This window comes from Homo sapiens, chromosome 20 (assembly GCF_000001405.40).
Source record: "Homo sapiens chromosome 20, GRCh38.p14 Primary Assembly".
Taxonomy (NCBI): domain Eukaryota; kingdom Metazoa; phylum Chordata; class Mammalia; order Primates; family Hominidae; genus Homo; species Homo sapiens.
Genome location: NC_000020.11, coordinates 61,290,064 through 61,308,935, shown reverse-complemented (window position 1 = coordinate 61,308,935; position 18,872 = coordinate 61,290,064). Strand labels below are relative to the sequence as shown.

Here is an 18,872-nt window from a genome sequence, read left to right as displayed (position 1 = left end):
GCAGGAATCAATTCTCCTGCAAACCACAGGCTACGAGCTCTGCTTCCCATAGCCCAGCCCTTTGATCAGGGCTTAAGTAAATTCAGATGTACAGGAAGAGGGGCATTGAAGTAGCTGCAACAGGTTTCTGACAGCAAAGTCTAACCTCCAGAAATCTTCCTGCTCAGCCTCTCCTCCGCCTGCAATCATCAAATTCAGTTTTGACAGAAGGCCTTGGGAAGGTGACTGAATAGGTTCACATTAGCAAATGAAAACCACATCAGACAAGGAAACACACTAAGCATTTTGTCTGGATGGTGCCAAACAGTAAGCCCCGGTGCTCCTCATTTCCCATCACTCCCAGGCACAGGAAATTATGCCAAGGCAGAAAAGCAGCAGCCATTTCAGCAGAAAAATCCCACAGACTGCTGGCATTGTCTGACTTTTGCCAGAGTTTGCAGGTGGACAGAGATTAATTGTCGGCACAGCTTTCCTGCACAGTGCAATGAGAAGGAGGGTGTCACCGACTTCACCTCGCCCTGCCTTCTCCTCCCCACAAAAGACATCGGATCCCACTAATTCAATCAGCATGAAACTAAGTCCACTGCTCAGCGCTGCGGCTCATGGCAGCTTTGTGACAGCTTTGGTTAAGTATGTGCACTCACATAGTATTTAATATTAAAGAACTCATCTGCAGAACCCTTGAAAATTACACCACCCTGGCATGGTACAAATGTGTCAATGTATGCTACATACATTCAAAACCAAGAGGCTCACGTGGGGCCATAAAAAGACGAAAGGAATATTTGCATGCCCCCGCCCCCTGGGCAGTGAGGTTCAGCCCTGACACACTGGGCAGTTTCACACGTTCCTTGTACTTCTACAGTGATTCTGGTCATCTCACCTCCACAGGGAGAGCCGTGTTTCAGAAGCTCTCCATGCCTGGACTCGGCATGTGGCTGTTCAGTGGGCAGTCACCACATATGACAGCTCCTACGGTGACACCACTAGTGACACCCAGATATCTGTGAAGAGTACACTGGACAAATCAAGCCTGGCACATTTCCAGGCAGGATATGTGAGATCAGGCCACACTGACTTGTCCCCGTGGGTGGAGCCCGGCTGGCTCCACATCCCTTACACCTTCCCATGCCAGCACCTCACTCTTTTGGAAGGGAAGCAGTCCAGCCCTGCAGGACACCAGCAGACAGGCAGGCTACAGGCTCAGGACACCTAGGACCACCCAGGAAAGAAAACAAAAGCCCCTCTTCCTGATGTAGTTTCCCCAATATCCAGCCAATCAGCATACAAATCCCAAGAAGCCAGTAGCTACAGATTCCTGCCTGGGGCAGGTGGATGGGGCAGGGACTTCTTCGAGGTCCAGCCTGCCCAGCTAGGTTCAAGATTCAGGTTATAGTGACCTTTTCCTCATTTTAATAGTGAAAAACACACCCCTAGGCAGAGACCTAGTATGCGAATGATACGCGCAACGTGTGTTGGAGCATGTAGGTGCTGAGTGCCTGACACATGCAACGTGTGTTGGAGCATGCAGGTGCTGAGTGCCTAATGACACATGCAATGTGTTTTGGAGCATGTAGGTGCTGAGTGCCTAATGATACATGCAAGGCGTGTTGGAGCATGTAAGCTCTGAGTGCCTGATACATGCAATGTGTGTTGGAGCATGCAGGTGCTGAGTGCCTAATGATACATGCAAGGCGTGTTGGAGCATGTAGGTGCTGAGTGCAAGCTCCAACTGCAGATCCGCCTTTGCATCCCCGACCTCAGCAGTATTTCATGAATATTCACATACAGCTCCCATGAAAGGAATTCCTCCTAAGGCAGCAGCTGCTATCTCCCTCTGAGCCGCTGCTCTGTCTCTCGGAGTGGACTTTTGCTTTCCAATAAACTTCTTTGCTTACTCTCACTATGGACTGGCTCTCAAATTCTTTTGTATGGCAAAGTTAAGAACCTGAACTAGCCCTCCCACCTACAACATAGCCACACCAAGGAGGAAATGAGAAGTCCCGCCCAGCCAGGACACAGATGGCTCCCCAAACACGGCTCAGGAAAGAAGCCAGGCGTACAGGTGAAGTGGGGCTCTGTCGACACAAAGTTCGAAATCAGGCAACGCTGAGCTGTAGGTCTGCAGTGGATCCAGGTGGAAGGGTGTGAGGACCAGGGAGAGTGGACCGTGCCCCAGTGTTTGACTGGTCGGTGCTGGCCCCAAGGGTGTGTTTGGTTTGAGATGATACACCATCTGGCCACTCACAACTTGTGTGCTTTTGTGTATATGACAATGAAAAGTTTGTAAAAACTTAATGGCGGCTGGGTGCGGTGGCTCACGCTGTAATCCCAGCACTTTGGGAGGCTGAGGCAGGTGGATCACAAGTTCAGGAGTGTAAGACCAGCCTGGCCAAGATGGTAAACCCCATCTCTACTAAAAATACAAAAAATTAGCCAGGCATAGAGGCAGGCACCTGTAATGCCAGCTACTCAGGAGGCTGAGGCAGAGAATTGCTTGAACCTGGGAGGCGGAGGTTGCAGTGAGCCGAGATCGTGCCACTGTACTCCAGCCTGGGTGACAGAGCGAGACTCCGTTTAAAAAAAAAAGAAAAAGAAAGAAAAAAGAAAACTTACCGGCATCACTCAGTAGCAAATCAGCCATTTCTTGCAGAGTAAACTGCATTTTTAAAGGAATCTAGAATGTTTTACGTATAATATTCTGAGGTAATTTCTTGAGTCCAGATTCACAATCATCTATCTAATCATGCTTTCCAGCAACCTTTGGAAGACTTAAAATCAACAGATGAGATGAAACCCTAAGCAAGGAAGAAGAGATGGACAGAAGCCTTCAAAGTTTTCAAGAGCGTGATGGCCAGGATCTGAAACCCACAGCCTACTCCCATCTTGAACTCTGAACTGTACTTGAGGGCCTGGCTGTGCCATAAGAATATCAAAAGGCCTAGACAAAAGGTCAACGGAAGTGGTGCTATTGGCAGAAGGCTTACAAAGTCCAAGAGCAACTAGGGACTATATATTTATCACCCCTATCAGATCAATCCGTGGGCCGATCTTCACTCTAGAAGCCAAATATACAGATATAGATCATATTTTCAGTTATCTCTGAACTCCCACGGATCTCCTGGCGAGCCATTTGCCAAATCCATTTGTGATGTGGCAGCATCTTTCATGAAAATGACAAGCTCCAGATCAAGGTGGCTCCCTTCGATCTTGATGTTAACCCAGCCACTTAGGTGCACGTGAGCGGTGAGCTGGATGACATCTGGAAATGCACAAACTCATGGCCACCAAAGCCCTGGGAAGCTCTGAGACCAAGGGGAAGAGAGAGGTTCGTGAACCGAGGTCAAGAGAATTGAAAAGAATCAAGGGAGTTTTATTTTTAATAACTTAGGAATTGGTCCAGGGACTTGGAATGTCGTGAGGACCTCAGGCTGTTCAAAGTCTTGCTGCAAAAGTGTGGTCCCCACACCAGCAGCATCCATAGAGAAAAAGTGTTGGAAATGCAGACTCTCAGGCCCCACCTCCCCCGGGAGTGGGAATCCGCATTCAGCAGGATTTCCAGGGGGTTCACAGCACACTGATCACTAGATGCCTGAAGACTGTAAGGTCGCTGCATAAGATACGGCAGGTGCACTGGCCCTGCATCTCGAAAGCCACGCTGGGTGGAAGGTTTCTTCCCCCTCTGCCCCCAGACAAAGAAAAACAAAAATCACAAAACAAAAAGGCAGGTTTATAGATCCACCGAAACACACACTTACGGACAGTCAGGCTCAACATCAGAGATGACGCTGAAAAATACTCCCCACACACAATACAGGCCCAGAGCACACACCACACACACAGTGCATACACAACACACACAACACACTGCACATACACAACACACGCACAGAACACACACACATACAACACACATGCTGCATGCCCAACACAGGCAACACACTGTACACACACCCACGCACAGCACATGCACAAAGCACACACACACATACAACACATACACTGCATGTACAACACACGCAACATACTGCACAAACATCCCACACACAACACACGCACCGAACACACACACACACAATACACGTGCTGCATGCGCAACACAAAGGACACACTGTACACACATCCCCACACACAATACATGCATTGCACACACACACACAACCCCACACACACAACATGCACACTGCATGCAAAACACACAGCACACTGCACACACAGAGGCTCTAGTACATACATAGTCTAGAAATACATCGTCTCTAGTTGCTCCTGGACTTTATAAACCTCCTGCCAATAGCACCCCTTCTGCTGTCCTTTTCTCTAGGCCTCTTAATATTGTTATGGCACAGCCAGGCCCTCTAGTACAATTCAGAGTTCAAAACATACAAAACACACAGCATATGCACCATATACAACACAACAAACACAGCACATACACACACATTCACACACACACAACACGACCAAAGGCGTCCTGTCCTCCAGGGGCTCATCGTTTAGAGAAGCCAACCACGCAGACCATTATGAAGCAATACAATGTAATATGAAATAATAAAACTAGGACGCAGAAAACCAGTATCAGAATGAAGTAAAATAACAAAAACTGGCCACTTCAGTGATTACCTAGGAAGTCACTCCTATAACGACCACACCAAAGAACGGGGGGTTGGGGGGGTGCCGTCCACTATCTTCAATCCAAAATGCTGACTGCTGAGAACTGCGTTCGGAGGATGGGCAGAGAAAGACCTAAAACCAGGATTCGTCTTCATAGAAGCCTGGGGCTGTGAAGACAGTTTCCTGATCTGCAGCTGAGGAAAGGAATGCCTGGCCTTTTCCTTCCCAGGCCCCAGGACACGGGTTCCTTGAGGGTCCCATAGAACTGGGGACATCACCACCCAGAAAAACGTGTGAAATGAAGCCACTGGCAGGAGCCTATCCCTACGGCCGTGTTAACCTTCAGAAGAACAGCCCCAGGTCAACTCCGTTCCGAAGTAGCCTCTATTATTTAAGAGGAGGTGCACGTGTTGCCTAAGTAAACAAAACAGGATGGCACCGTGCCCATCGGACCTCCTGGGATCCAGGCTGCTGCTGAAGGCTCGCTTTCCAGCTTGCCCCACTGGACTTCCGTGGGCTCCTCCCACTGGTGCCTCCGTGTCCCGGGCCTGGGGGTGGGCACAGATGCACAGTGATGCTCCACATATCTCAGCCCAGCTCCTACCTCCTCCTCCCTGCTCCCCTGAAAAGAGCTACAGGGAAATTAAGCAATGGCGCTGGAGGTGAGAAGGCAGAGAGAAGAGGACTTCAGGAGAGCTGGCACCGGAGAGAGCAGACACCCCCCAAATCACAAGATGACCAGTTGGGGGCCCACCTGGATCCCTGTCCTGCTGCTGCAGCCTTGCTGGGAACCCAGGAGAAGCAGGAGGGTGAGGATGAGGCAGAGAAGGGGAAGAGGGGCAGCCAGAGGAGCTGGAAAAAAATGGCAAGAGCAGGGCCAGACGGGGCAGGGCGTGGATACGGCTGTGCCTCGAGCCCCTTGCTGTCCCCCACCCCTGCCCTGGCTCTTGCAGAGGACTCGTGGCCTTGACCAGCACCAGGCCAGGCACCTGGACCAGCAGCAGGAAGGCCACCCCAGCAGCAGCTCATGGCTAATATCGCCCTCCTTGACCCAGGCTGGTGACACATTCACCATCTCGCCCATCCTCACAAGAACGCCTGGGTACCACTCTCCACTCTTGTTTCACAGCTGAGAGAACAGGCATAGGAAGGGGAGCCACATGCTTTGGGTCTCAGGGTGTATCTGCTTCCTACTGTGGCCGTAACGTCACCACAAACCCCATGGCTTAATGTGAACACTTATATCTTGCAGGTCTGGAGGCTAGAAGTCTGATATGGGTTTCCCTGGGCCAAGAGCCAAGTGTCAGCCATGCTGGGGAGGCCCCAGGAGAGAATCCTTCCTTGTCTAGCCTCTGGAGGCACCTGTGTTATGGGCTCATGGCCTCTTTCACATCACTCCAACCTCTGCTTCCCTCCTCACATTTTCTCCTCCCAACCTTGACCCTCCGGCCTCCCTTTTGGAAGGGACCTTGGGGTTCTATGGCACCAACCAGGATAACCTCCCATCTCGGCATCCTTCACTTTCATCACATCTGCAGAGTCCCTTCTGCGGGGCAAGGTGAGACATTCAGAGGTGGAGAGATTAGGACTGGGGCATCTTTGGGGGTCCCTGTTCTACCTCCCATGCTCAGGGAACCGAAACAGGTGTGTCTCACACAGACCCAAATGCTGCAGCCATCCCTCCGGGCCATGCAGGACATGGGAGGCACCAACCAGTCTCAGGATGACTTGAGGGATGGAGGGGACAACAATGCCGATTCCCTGCCCCCACCCCCAACCTCAGTCAGACCCTCCCATTCTCCTGTGAAGAATGACGTTTGTGACAACAGACCCCCCCCAACCCAGGCCAAGGAAACACATACAGGAAACATCCTGGATGCTTTTGCTTTTCACCGTTCATCTGAAGTTAGGCGTTAAGCTTGTTCATCACTTTGGCTGGTTTAATTTTAGAAAGACCTGCTTGCAAAGTCTTGAAAACGCATAATGAATTGGCAGACAGCAAACACATCTGCACCACAGTGAGGATACGGACTGCACACACAGGAACGTGACAAGGTCCCCAGTGGCTAAGAAGATGCCCAAAGCAGCTCCCTGGCCCTCACACGGAAACCGGCCCTGTGGTGAGGGCTCGACCATGAGCTGCAGGTCACCGCCCAGACCTCGGCCTACTAAATGCTCTCTCTCCCCACAAAAGGGGCACCGTTTGTAGTGGAGTCTCCTTACTTTGTCAGTCGGATCTGACTTGCAAATTAAAACAATCTGCTTTTACCTTTGCATTAGCCTTTAAATACTTAAGTTTTAATTATACATAAGTCTACCTGGAGACGTTTTGGGCAACTTCCAATATTGTCAGTCAGCAACGGAAGTATGGCGTAAAAGCGCATGTAATTTCCAAACCCCCGGTTGTTAATGAAATCCCAAACATTCAGATTTTAATTGAACTAGATAAAGATTAAGAAGCTTAGCAGCAGCTGGCAATACGAATTAGTTCTCAGCAGAGTTTTATGTTGTACTCTAAATCATGGCTTTTGTAATCGCCCTCAATTGTCCTTTATCTTGCCAATGCAGATTCGATTCTCAGGGACCATCAGGCTTCCTGTCTCCCCACTGCCTGAAATATTTTGATGTGTAAAGTCTTAATAGTAATTTTAATAATATTATGATCTGTGCATATGATGTATATTCAATAAATCTTTACACTAATTAGAAGAAAAGTCGGGGCCTTTATGAAACCTATTTTTAAAGCTGAGTTTTATGGCCGGAGAATAATCGCTTGAAACGACTTAAAAAGCAGCAAAAACTCTCTGGAGGTCATATGACCAAGGCAAGAGGCCTCGCGAAGCATCGAGAATTCAACAGAAGGGTCTGCCCCAAATGTCAGCAAAATGCACACGCCCAGGCCAGTGAGTACCAGCAGCTGCCCATTTAAATAAAGGGGCAATGTGTTTTCAAACATGGCTGCTGTTTTCCCAAATGGCCAACATATGGGCAGGGCACCACCGCTGGCACCACTGACAAAATGTAAAGGCCCCAGCACTGTATCCCCTTGGTTCCTGCCTGACACAGCAGCCCTCAGGCATTTACCGCATCCATTGTGGAGACAGGCCAGGCTCAGCTCTCCTCCTTCACTTTCTAGTGACCACGGCAACCACCTTGCTAAACCGAGCCTCGCTCCTTCCATCTGTGAAGCGGGCTGAGGGCCATGGGCTTTGGCACCTTCACAGAGACACTGCAAATGGGGAGTTGGGCGCAGCCCCGGGCACACTGCGAGGTAAGAGTCGTGAGCTTTGAAGTTAATGGGATTAACCGTGGGGTGAGTCCACGGCTGCCCAGCAGCTCATGTGAGGAGGTGGGAGGGCCCTGCTGCCAGCTGCAGGGGCCGGGGGAGGGAGCAGCCGCCCATGGCTGGTGCTCCGGGCTTTGTACAGCTTGAACTGCTCCAAAAGGAAGGGTGAGGAGGAGGAGGTGGGTTTGTTTCCCAGGGTCCCTACCTCCTGGTGGCTCTGCCAGGAAGCCAATGTTTTTCCACCTAAACAGACAGTTGTCCTGGGAGTAGAAGAGACTGCCTCGCCCCTGACAGGGGACCCATGAGTGTCCTGGAGAAAGGGGACATCCCACCCAGAGGGCAGCAGGAAGGCTGGGTGTGGGGGCCAGGGGTCCTGTGTGGGCAGAACAGGGCAGGAGGAACACTGGACAGAGGGGACACAGACCCGGGAGACGGGTCCAAAGGGCCAGTGCAGGCCAGGCCGAAGAAGCGAAGACAGCAGCGAGGAAGAGAGCCCGGCAGGGCAGACGGGGGATGAGCAAGGGCTGTGGCCGCAGCCAGGGGAGCCCTGTGCCCAGGGAGAGCTGGCACTGTCCTCTTCACCCAGAGGCCGCCTGGCTGCAGAGAGTGCCCTGTGCCGGAGCCCAGCAGCAACCCACCCAGCCGAGACTCCCAGGTTCCCGGGAGCAGCTGAGGGCTCGGAGCCTCCACACGCACTGTTCCCTCTCCCAGAACATGCTGCCCCTCATGTGGCCCTTCTCCTGCTCATTTTTCAAGTGTTCCCTTAATATCCCTTTACCCGCCGATTGCCCCGGCCTCAGACCCACGCATCCCTGGCACCTGACCCCACTGCCTGGCTGTGGCACACCTGCCTCTCCCCTGGGATCTCACCACCTGCTTTAGCTGTCCACCCGCCCTCCCCATGCCACCGTAAGCTCCAAGCAGGCTGGACGTCTCTGTTTTTACACCAGTGCATGGCCAGTCAGCGTGCAGAAGAGTCTCTTCATGTTTGTTGGATGAAGAAATACACACGATTCCCTAAAGAGCCATTTTCAGTAATGTCCCTTGTGAGATCCAGCCCCAAACCTGGTCCCCCCTCTACACATCATTACAAATGGACACACTGGCAAAGGCTCTAACCCCACACACCTCCTGTAAGCGTCATGCCCCCGGGGAAGTGCTGGCGGCTTCTATGGCGTTACTTATGGCTTATAGTTTAGGGCCCTAACACTTTTATAGCCTGTGTTTTTTGGCGCTAGTCCTCCTCATCTGCATCTGGATGACGGTTTTATGACCTTACAGCAGAGCAGTGTGAAAGGCTTGAGAGATGACAGCCCGGCCTGCAGGGAGGCCTTTCAAGGGTGAGGCATGGGGTTCCAGGGTCCTGATATTAACCCCAGAGTTTCTGCAAGGAAGCAGCTCCTCCATCCACAAGGCAAGCTTGGAACAGAGAACTTTCAGCCCTAGCAGGAGTAACCTCCTTTTCAAAAAAGTCACTTCTGGGAGTTACTAAGAAGTCAGGTTACCAAGAAACATCTAAGTCAACATTTTTCTTCCAGCATATTTGCTTTCTGGGCTTTTCAAAATTGCCATTTTCAATGTGTCAGTTTCCCGTGGCTGCCATAACAAAGTATCACAAACCTGGAGGCTTAAAGCAATGGAAATGGATTCTGTCTGTTCTGGAGCCCAGGAGTTTGACGGAGATCAGAGTGTCTGCAGGGCCGTGCTCCCTCTGGGACCCATTGGGAGGAGCCCTCACCATCTGGGGCTGTGGCAGTCCCCGGGGCTCCTGTCTGCGGATGTATCACTCCCATCTCTGCTCCGTGATGAACGAATAAGCGAGGTTCTCCCCGGGGCCTCTGTCTAACACTGGATTCGGTTTCCTCTTCTTTTCTTATAAGAGCACGGGTCTTTGGATTTAGGGCCCACCCTGATCCACTCTGACTGTCTCTTAACTTGATTCCATCTACAAAGACCCCCCATTTTTTTTCCAGATATGATCACGCGCACAGGTTCTGGAGTTGGGATTCAGCAAAAGGCATTTTGGGAGATTCAATTCAACCCATAATGCTCAGTGATCTTCTGACTCAAAATACTGGTGCCAGGGTTCCAAATTGGCTGTTTTCAGAAATGAACTCTGTTCTTTTAGAGCATTTTTAGTTCCTGAGTTTGGCAAACCATTTTGTTTACCGCATACACAGACACACTAGTGCACTTGCTTTTGTGGTTACCATGAAAAAAAAAAAGACTCTCACCAGCGATACATTTCAGACCCCTTCGCAGCTTAACTTGGAAATGACTTTCTTCAGTCTGTGTTCTTTTAAGTTTATTTTTCTTTTTCTTTTTTTTTTTTGGCAAGAGAAAAGGGTGATGATTATAGTAGAATTAGAAGGTACGGTGGGTGCCAGAAGTCTCAGAGTGTGTCTCAGAAAAAAAATGTTATTGTTCAAAGGAAAAGTGGTAACCACAGAAAAACACAGAGTCCCAGGGCCTCAGGGTACCTGCAGCCCCTGCAGACGGGGTGTGTGGTTGTGCATGCCGTGTTCCTGAGGACCTGACGGGACGTGGCCCAGCAGAACCTTCCAGAAATCCAATCCAGGAGAGAGGAACGTGGGGAAGTGCGGGAGGAAGGGGTGTGGGGGAGAAGTGAGCCAGGCTTCCTGCTGAGTGGTGGGTCCTCAGCCCTTGGAGGGGCCTGCTGATTGTCTAGGAGAGTGGATCAATGAAGCCTGTGCACTTCCGTCTAATCCCCGAGAATTACACACACTCAATTTAATTGATCTCCCTGATGATGCAGAGCTGGTGGCCGGGATGCTTATAGCGGTCAGGACTGAGTCATCGTGCTGGTGTCCACGGTTAGGCAGCCGCTGACACAGGCCGGAAACCCGGCTCCCTGCCAGGTCAGCTCTGGCGCCCAATCGCACTCTTCACTTACTCCAAGCACCAGTAACAGGCTGCCCCAATGAATGCCAAAGTTGCTGAACCCGCCTGCACAAAGGCCACCTCGTGATAGCCAAAGCCTTCCTCGGGTGCCTGCGTGGGCCTCCTTGACACGGGATAACGGGCCCCCAGAGCTGACCTGAAACCCCAAAACCCAAAAGAAGGGTGAGGCATTTTGCGGTGGCGCAGATACCTCCACGGCCACAGGCGAGCACTGCCCGATTGTCATTCGCTCCACAGCGCCATAATATATTCACTCTGGTTCCCCACGGATTCCTGAAAAGTTCAGCCAAGGGCGCCTGCTCATTAGATGAAAGGAGCACGCTAAGACAATGGGAAGCCCCGGTAAAGGGGCTGACACGCGCTAATGTCTCTATCATACACGCGAGAGGGCAGGAAAGTGCGCTGCAAGGCCTCCAGAATCCAGCCTGCTCTAGGTGGCAGGACAGAGGAGCTTCTTGGTGCAATCGACAAATCTTTCTGAAGGGCCCACTGTGTGCCAGGCACCGCCCCGGCTTTGGAAAAACAGCTGCTGCCCAGCCCTCAGGAGTTGGGCTGTCAGTGGGCCACGCCCAGGGGCCCCAAGACACAGATGGACCATGGGGATTCGCCTCTGAGATATGTTCATGGTGAGCAAAACCTTCATCCAGGGTATTACTTTATACCAAATATAGGGTGTTCTTCACACCCTAAGGCCAGGACTTTTCCACACTTTTTTTTTCTGTTTTTTGAGATGGAGTTTCGCTCTTGTCGTCCAGGCTGGAGTACAATGGCGCGATCTCGGCTCCTCATTGCATCTTCCGCCTCCCGGGTTCAAGCGATTCTCCTGCCTCAGCCTCCCGAGTAGCTGGGATTACAGGCACATGCCACCGTGCGTGGCCAATTTTTGTATTTTTAGTAGAGACGGGGTTTTGCCACGTTGGCCAGGCTGGTCTCGAACTCCTGACCTCAGCTGATCCACCTGCCTTGGCCTCCCAAAGTGCTGGGATTACAGGCATGAGCCACCACTCCTTGCCTCCACACTTTTTAAGAGAGGGATCCTTGTTAGGAACCCCTAATACATGGTAAGTAAAGACAGAACTGCTCCTCTGAAGCTCAGGTGGAAGTCCTGGAGTCCTGGGGTCCCTCTCACTTAATTCAGCTCCCAGTTCTGTCGCTCAGAGCCAGCAGCTCCAGGAAGTCAGCTGACAGTAACCACTATGAAGAGACTTAAAGGCATCCATCGTCCCCCACCTACCCATCCACCCATTCTCCACCCCCGTCCCTCCTTCCACCTGACGCCACCTGCCCATCGTCCGTCCGTCACCCTTCCAGCTGCCGTGGCCTGAAACGCCCAGTTCAGGGACCTTCGGCCATGCCTGCTCTTTCCAGAATATCACCCCAGACGCCTGGGTCTGGCCTTCCAGAACACGCTTCTCAAACCTGGGACACCAGTTTCGTGTGGCATGGTGAACATTTTAAAATGAAATCGAACAGAATGGAAAAAAAGTACCTATTCTAATTGTATCGATAACATTTACGAGGCGGTAAATGCTGCTCTGCAAAACACTGATTTCTGTTTGTGTGTGGGGACGTTTCTGTGGGGAGGGAGGGTTTGGGGGGTATTTCCTGGCCCATAATTTTAAAGCATTTTTTTTCTATGAATCATGGTCAAAAAACTTTGAGATCCAGGGTCAGGCAGGCCCAGCCCTGCCTGAAGTGTGTATTCTGTGCAAGCATGGCCCGTGGCCTGCAGTGCTGAGAAAAGAGTCAGGCAGGTAGTAGATCGATCTCTCTCTCACACACACACACACACGCACGCATGCACACACACGCACCCACGCACACACACACACGCACCCACGCACACACACACACGCACACATGCACACACACATACACACACTCATTATTTTGACAACTCTAAGGTCTCTCTCTCACACACACACACGCACACACTCATACTTATTTCGACAACTCTAAAGTTCCAGCACATCCAACCCTTGATGTGGTGTGGATCATCTGGTCTACCTTGCTGCCTAGAAGCCGCTCTCCTTCTCGCAGGCCACTCCCCCTTGCCCCACCGTCCTGGCTCGGCCATTAACTACTCCCCACCCCTTCTCCGTCCTCCTGAAAACCACCTCCTGCAGCGGGGGTAGACCCTCCCACGTGTTCCCACGGCCTCCGCGATACCCATGGCACTTTCTCACTCTACAGCTGTCCACTGGTGTCAGCTCCCTTCAAAGCACCTTCCAGAGAGGGAGGCAGCTGCTTCCGGCCGGCCGGGGACCCCAGGACACACCCTGCTGGCCGCCCTGGGGAGTGAGTGAGTGGACACAGGCCGGGCAGCAGCTGGTGGGCACGAGGAGCTGGTAAGGGACAGGGGTCTGCCTGGCCACCGCCTCCTTCCCCGCTTTTCCCCAGCTGCCATTTATCCAGCTCAGCCTCTGCCCAGGCCACTCTGCTGACCAGGCTTCTGGCCACATTCTACAACCTCTGTTTCCTCACCGAGAAATATGAACCGCAGGATGACGCCCAGGGCCACTCGCAAGTCTGCAACTTCCTGGAGTTATTCGATACTGATAAGTATTGAAATCAGAGATACCAAAGGGAGTTTGCGGCCATTGCTACTGATTACTTCCACTCCGCAACAGTCGCAGTGTGTGTACATCCACAACTGCATCTCAGCATCACAGCCATGCCAGGTGACAGGGACAAATGTCGCAATCCCCTGGCAGACAACAGAGCGGGGTGTGAGCCTGAGGTCACACCCTTCGCCAGTGTGCTTTCGGGTGCTGGACTCCAGACTCCCTCAATACCGCATGGTCAGTGTTCTAACTCAAGGTATCCATAAAAATCACATGTAAAACATCAGTAAACATGTCCCAACCTCAGCAAAATTAAAAAATTTTCCAGGAAACAGGGACAGTGCTTTAAGTGCATTTTTAAAAACAAAGTATTCTTCCCCTCCCGTACAACAGCCTGATTCATCAAATAATCAATACATGCAAATGTGTTTATAATTACGCCACATTCTCCCATGACACTCCCTGCCTTCGACAAAGTCATCCCCAAAGGCTGTTTTCCACCAGGATATTGAGGGTGCAAGGCCAGACAGAGACTCCATCCAAGGGGACATTCTCGCGGGCTCACTTTCTTTTTCCTCAACAGCTCCACAGCCGTGTTTTTGGGGCAGAGGCCTGGGCCTGGTGGAGCTCGGGTGGGGTTTGGGATCAGTGGGTGACCCTGTGCCCGATGCACCAGCCAGGTTTAGAATCACTGCCCTGTGAACTCACACCGAGCGCCGTGACCAGATCGGGAGCTTTGGTCCAGCCTGGTGCCTGTCCTCAGGCCTCACACACAAGGGTCCCAGCTTTCAGCTCTGTTGTCAGGGGCTCAGCTTTCCCCAGGGCGGCCCAGAGGACATCAATGCCCACATCTCACAGGCTCCAGGCTGCTGGAGTGGGCGACAGGGGCCCTGCGTGTAGCGACACAGGCCAGGTGTAAGGCCTGGGGAAAGAGCAGTGTCCAGCATGTGTGGGGTCCCACAGTGGAATGAACCATGTTGTCCCCTGAAGATGGTGACCGTGGGCCAGTTCTGCAGCCTTTCCGGGCCACTCAGCCGTCCATTAAAGGGGCATAGGGTGGAGGGTGATGGGAAGAGCAGCTGTGTTTCCTCTGGGAGCTGTGAGTAGGATGGGCCGAGTCGGGGCCCTGCCCCGGGGGGATCTCAGTGCACTTTGACTGCTGCCCTCCCAGATGGCGAGACCACAGAGCTTAGGGCAGGGTGATGGCAGGTCATGAGACTTCACCCCCGTTGCCCCAGACCCACCTCAAAGACCTTTGGCCTTGGGCTCTAGCAGGTCAGCAGCCCTGGCCCCGGTGCAGACCCCAGCTCAGGGAACCAGGGCTGGTGTCACGGGCAGACCCCCCAGCCTCCAGGTCAGCCCATGATGCCGGCAGGATCAGGGAGTGCGGGGGTGGCTGGCCCGGCCAGTCTGACTGAAGCCACCACCACCCATGAGGACGTGGGTTCTCTGTGAAGGTCAGAGCCAGGCCAGCATCCTTGCGGACGCTCCACCCACACTGACCACCTGTCCTGCCGGGGCCTTCACCTGTCCCGGGGTCTCCACACTGTGAAACAGAAGGAAACGACCACAAAGACCCCCATGCTGACCCCCCAGCACCTCACCAGCTTCCCTGTGCCTACGGGCATGTCCAGACCACAAAGTGGACCCGCAAAACCCGGCACTGCCGAACAGTTCTCAAAAAACCACCTCCCACCCCAGGATGCCACCCTGGTGAGGGGCCAGGAAGAAGCAGGCACTCTGGGCACCTTCCTCTCCCCTCACTTCAATAACAATGGCTCTTTCTTGGCCTCAGCAAGAGCACCTCCAGGCTGAAGGGCTCATAATTTAGGAGGTCCTCACCTCCCTCCAAGAGGTGCTGTGCTCATTTGGCAGAGGAGAAAACCGAGGCTTGGAGAAAGAGGATTCTAACACAAGTCACACCCAGGGTCTCTAGGCTTTAAAAATGTGTCTCTCTGTCCCGCTGATGGGGACACATGCAAGGCTATTTCAGGGCTGGGACTTGACTTTCTTGGCACTGTTGTCCCCAGGACCAGTCCAGGCCTGGCGCTCAACAAGTGTTGGTTGAGTGACTGACCTTCCTTCCCCAGAAGTCCCCGCACGCCTGCCGGGCACCTGGGGCCTCTCCAGCCAGGGGTCGGAGCTGTAGTCACGTGACTCTGTGAACCCATGGGACCAGATACCGGGGTAACTGTGCACTAACCCTCACTCTGCACCTCCCTGTCCTACGGGTCCTCCTGCCACCCGTCCCAGGAGCTGTGAGACCACTCTCATCCACCCTCATCCTCCTCTCTGCATCCACACAGGCCAAGTCCCACTACGTGCATGTGGGGAGAGCTAGAACCCGCAGGCCAAGTCCTACTACGTTCATGTGGGGACAGCTAGAAGGAGCAAAAGTCTCCCTGTCTCTCTGAAGGAACCAGCCCTCCCTCCTAGGTCCCCACCATCCTGATGGGAGCTGCAGGGGATCTGCGGAAGTGGCTACACTCAGGGGAGCCCTGAGCCTCGGGGAGCGTGGGGACCACACCCAGCCACAGCCAGGCCCCTAGGCAGGTCGCCGCAGACCCCGGCAGCACACAGACTCAAAGGCCTGCTGACAGCATCTGAAACAGGCAGGCACTGCCTGCCTTGTGGGGCTTCCTCCCTCCTAGGGCACAGAGGCACCTCTGCATCTGGACTGCTGATACCAGAGGCTGCTCAGGGGCCAGTTTCCTGGGACTCAACTCCTTCATTGAACAGAGGTTGCTACAAAAACAAAAACAAAAACAAAAACAGCATTGCCCAAGTTTCTCTATTTTCTCGTGTTTCTGGCACCTCAAAGCAGACCTGTTAGGAAGAAATCTCCGCATAAGGGCGTGAGTGCGCTGTGCGTCTGCAGGTCAGCCCTGGCCGCACTTCCAAGGCTCAGTGCTGTTGGCAGCTGGGGCTGGGCCGTCCTCTGTGGTGGGGCCGTCTTGTGCCCACCAGCACCTTCTGCGGCAGCTCCAGCCTCCATCCACTGGACGCCAACAGCACCCCTCCCCAAGCTGTGACAACCAAAAACGTCTCCAGTAGTTGCCCAGTGCCCCTGGGGCTGGACTTGCCCCCTTTGAGAACCACTAGACTAGACCAGAGGATGGCAATGGAAGAAAAATCATACTAATAAAAAGAGCAGTGCCCACTCAAAAAGGACTGGGGTGGATGCGTTTCACATCCTTATCAACTCCACGAGGCAGGGACTATCTCAGTCCTTACTTACAGAAAAGGAAACTGGCTGCCTAATATTCCATGGTGTATATCTACCACATATTCTTCTCCAATCTGTCACTGATGGGCATTTCGGCTGATTCCATGTCTTTGCTCTTGTGAACAGTGCTGCCATGAATATTTGCGTGCATGTGTCTTTAGGGTAGAATGATTTACATTCCTCTGGGTATATATCCAGTAGTGGGATTGCTGGATCAAGTGGTAGTTCTGCTTTGAGCTATTTGAGGAATCACCATACTGCTTGCAGGGACATGGATGAAGCTGGAGGCCGTCATCCTTAGCAAACTTACGCAGGAACAGAAAACCGAATACCGCATGTTCTCACTTATAAGAGGGAGCTAAATGATAAGAACTGATGAACACAAAGAAAGAAACACCAGACACGGGGGGCTACTTGAGCAGGGAGGGTGGGAGGAGGGAGAGGAGCAGGAAAGACAACTATTGGGTATCGGGCTTAGGTCCTGGGAGATGAAATGATATGTATAATAAGCCCTTGTGACACGTGTTAACCTGTGTGACAAACCTTCACATGTACCCCCGAACCTAAAGGAAAAGTGGAAAAAAAAGATAATGGAAACCGAGTCTCCGAGGCCATAAGTCACTGGGATAGGGTCAGACTGGAAACCCCCGGTAACCTGGTGGCCTGGCGCGGGTGCCCGCATGTTTGGCCTTGTGGCACACTGCCTTAGGGAGGAACAAAGGCTCTCAGGGAGCTCCTGCCGACCGGCAGTCTTTGCAGCACCTTGCATTCTTAGCTATTTCACCCTACATGAAGGAGGCACTCCATTATCCCCCCTTACTCTGGAGGAGACTGAAGTCCAGAGAGGGTGAGAAGCTTGTCCGGGGTCACACAGCTAACGGGTACCTGTAAGATGTGACCTCCTGCCACAAGAGCAGGCCCAGGGCCCACACACCACGGTACTGTCTTGAGTTCTCGTTCTTTCCACAAGTCTTCACATGGCTGTGCCTTGTCACCGGATATGGGACCCGCCGGGGTGATCCTGTCTCCAGATCATTAACTTAATCACAACTGCAAAGACCCTTTTGTCCAAATAAAGACACTCACAGCTTCTGGGTGCACATATCTTTTGGAGGCCACCATTCAACTCACTACAAGGTGTGAGTCAGGCCAGTGAGACTCAGAGACAGGACTTGGGGGAGGATGACTGGAAAAGAGAGGTTCTCACTCGCAGGGACTGCCAAGGTGCAGGCAGGAAAGCCAAAAAGACAGAGCTGAGTGTGAGACAGGGGTTGGGGGACACACAGATGCCCCACGAGGGAAGATCTAGCTAGAGAATAAAGTCAAGAAAAACGAACAAACCAAACCCCAGAATGAGCCAAAAAAAGGCCAAGCCAAGAGATGGAAAGATACAGGCTCTTGATAACGGTGTTTGGACTCCTGGATCCAGCCATGCCTGAAGCTAACATCAGACCCTTAGATTTTTCAGGAATATGGCCCACTTTTATTGGTTTGGGTTATTAAGGCTCCTTTCTGTAACAGTTCCATTCCTAAACCTCAGAGGCTAGGAAGAGTAGCAGGTCCTTTCTCCCCCACATCACAGCCCACTGTGGGTGGCTGGGTCCTCTTCTCTCCAGTGACACAGAAATTGGGGCTGTCTTCATCTTACACCTGTGCCATCTTCTGGAGAAGGCACTCGTTTCAACTCTTCACCCCACATCCCCTTTGTGCCCATGCCATCTGCAAGGACCAGGGCAGGTAGTCAACATGTCACGCTGTCTGCCATGCCATCAATTTCCTCTGTGACTGGCATCTGTGGTGCTAAACCCAGCAAGTCTCATTGGATATGGGGATAAATCCAGCAAGTCTCATTGGATACGGGGATAAATCCAGCAAGTCTCATTGGATATCGGGATAAACCCAGCAAGTCTCATTGGATACGGGGATAAACCCAGCAAGTCTCATTGGATACGGGGATAAATCCAGCAAGTCTCATTGGATATCGGGATAAACCCAGCAAGTCTCATTGGATACGGGGATAAACCCAGCAAGTCTCATTGGATACGGGGATAAATCCAGCAAGTCTCATTGGATATCGGGATAAACCCAGCAAGTCTCATTGGATACGGGGATAAACCCAGCAAGTCTCATTGGATACGGGGATAAACCCAGCAAGTCTCATTGGATACGGGGATAAACCCAGCAAGTCTCATTGGATACGGGGATAAACCCAGCAAGTCTCATTGGATACGGGGATAAACCCAGCAAGTCTCATTGGATACGG

At 52.4% G+C, this 18,872-nt stretch overlaps 1 protein-coding gene across 3 annotated transcripts in view, besides 1 other annotated feature; it reads right to left on the bottom strand.

The window, feature by feature from the left end:
* CDH4 (cadherin 4) overlaps positions 1 to 18,872 on the bottom strand; it is a 688,357-nt gene that overhangs the window by 631,682 nt on the left and 37,803 nt on the right. The gene's annotated exons all lie outside the window — the stretch shown is intronic.
* Positions 1,585 to 2,091: an enhancer, noted in NCBI's record as "OCT4-H3K4me1 hESC enhancer chr20:59881901-59882407 (GRCh37/hg19 assembly coordinates)". NCBI's record gives its function as "activates a minimal SCP1, AML or CMV promoter by ChIP-STARR-seq in naive H9 embryonic stem cells {active_cell/tissue: H9 hESC(naive)}" and the evidence as "EXISTENCE:reporter gene assay evidence [ECO:0000049][PMID:30033119]".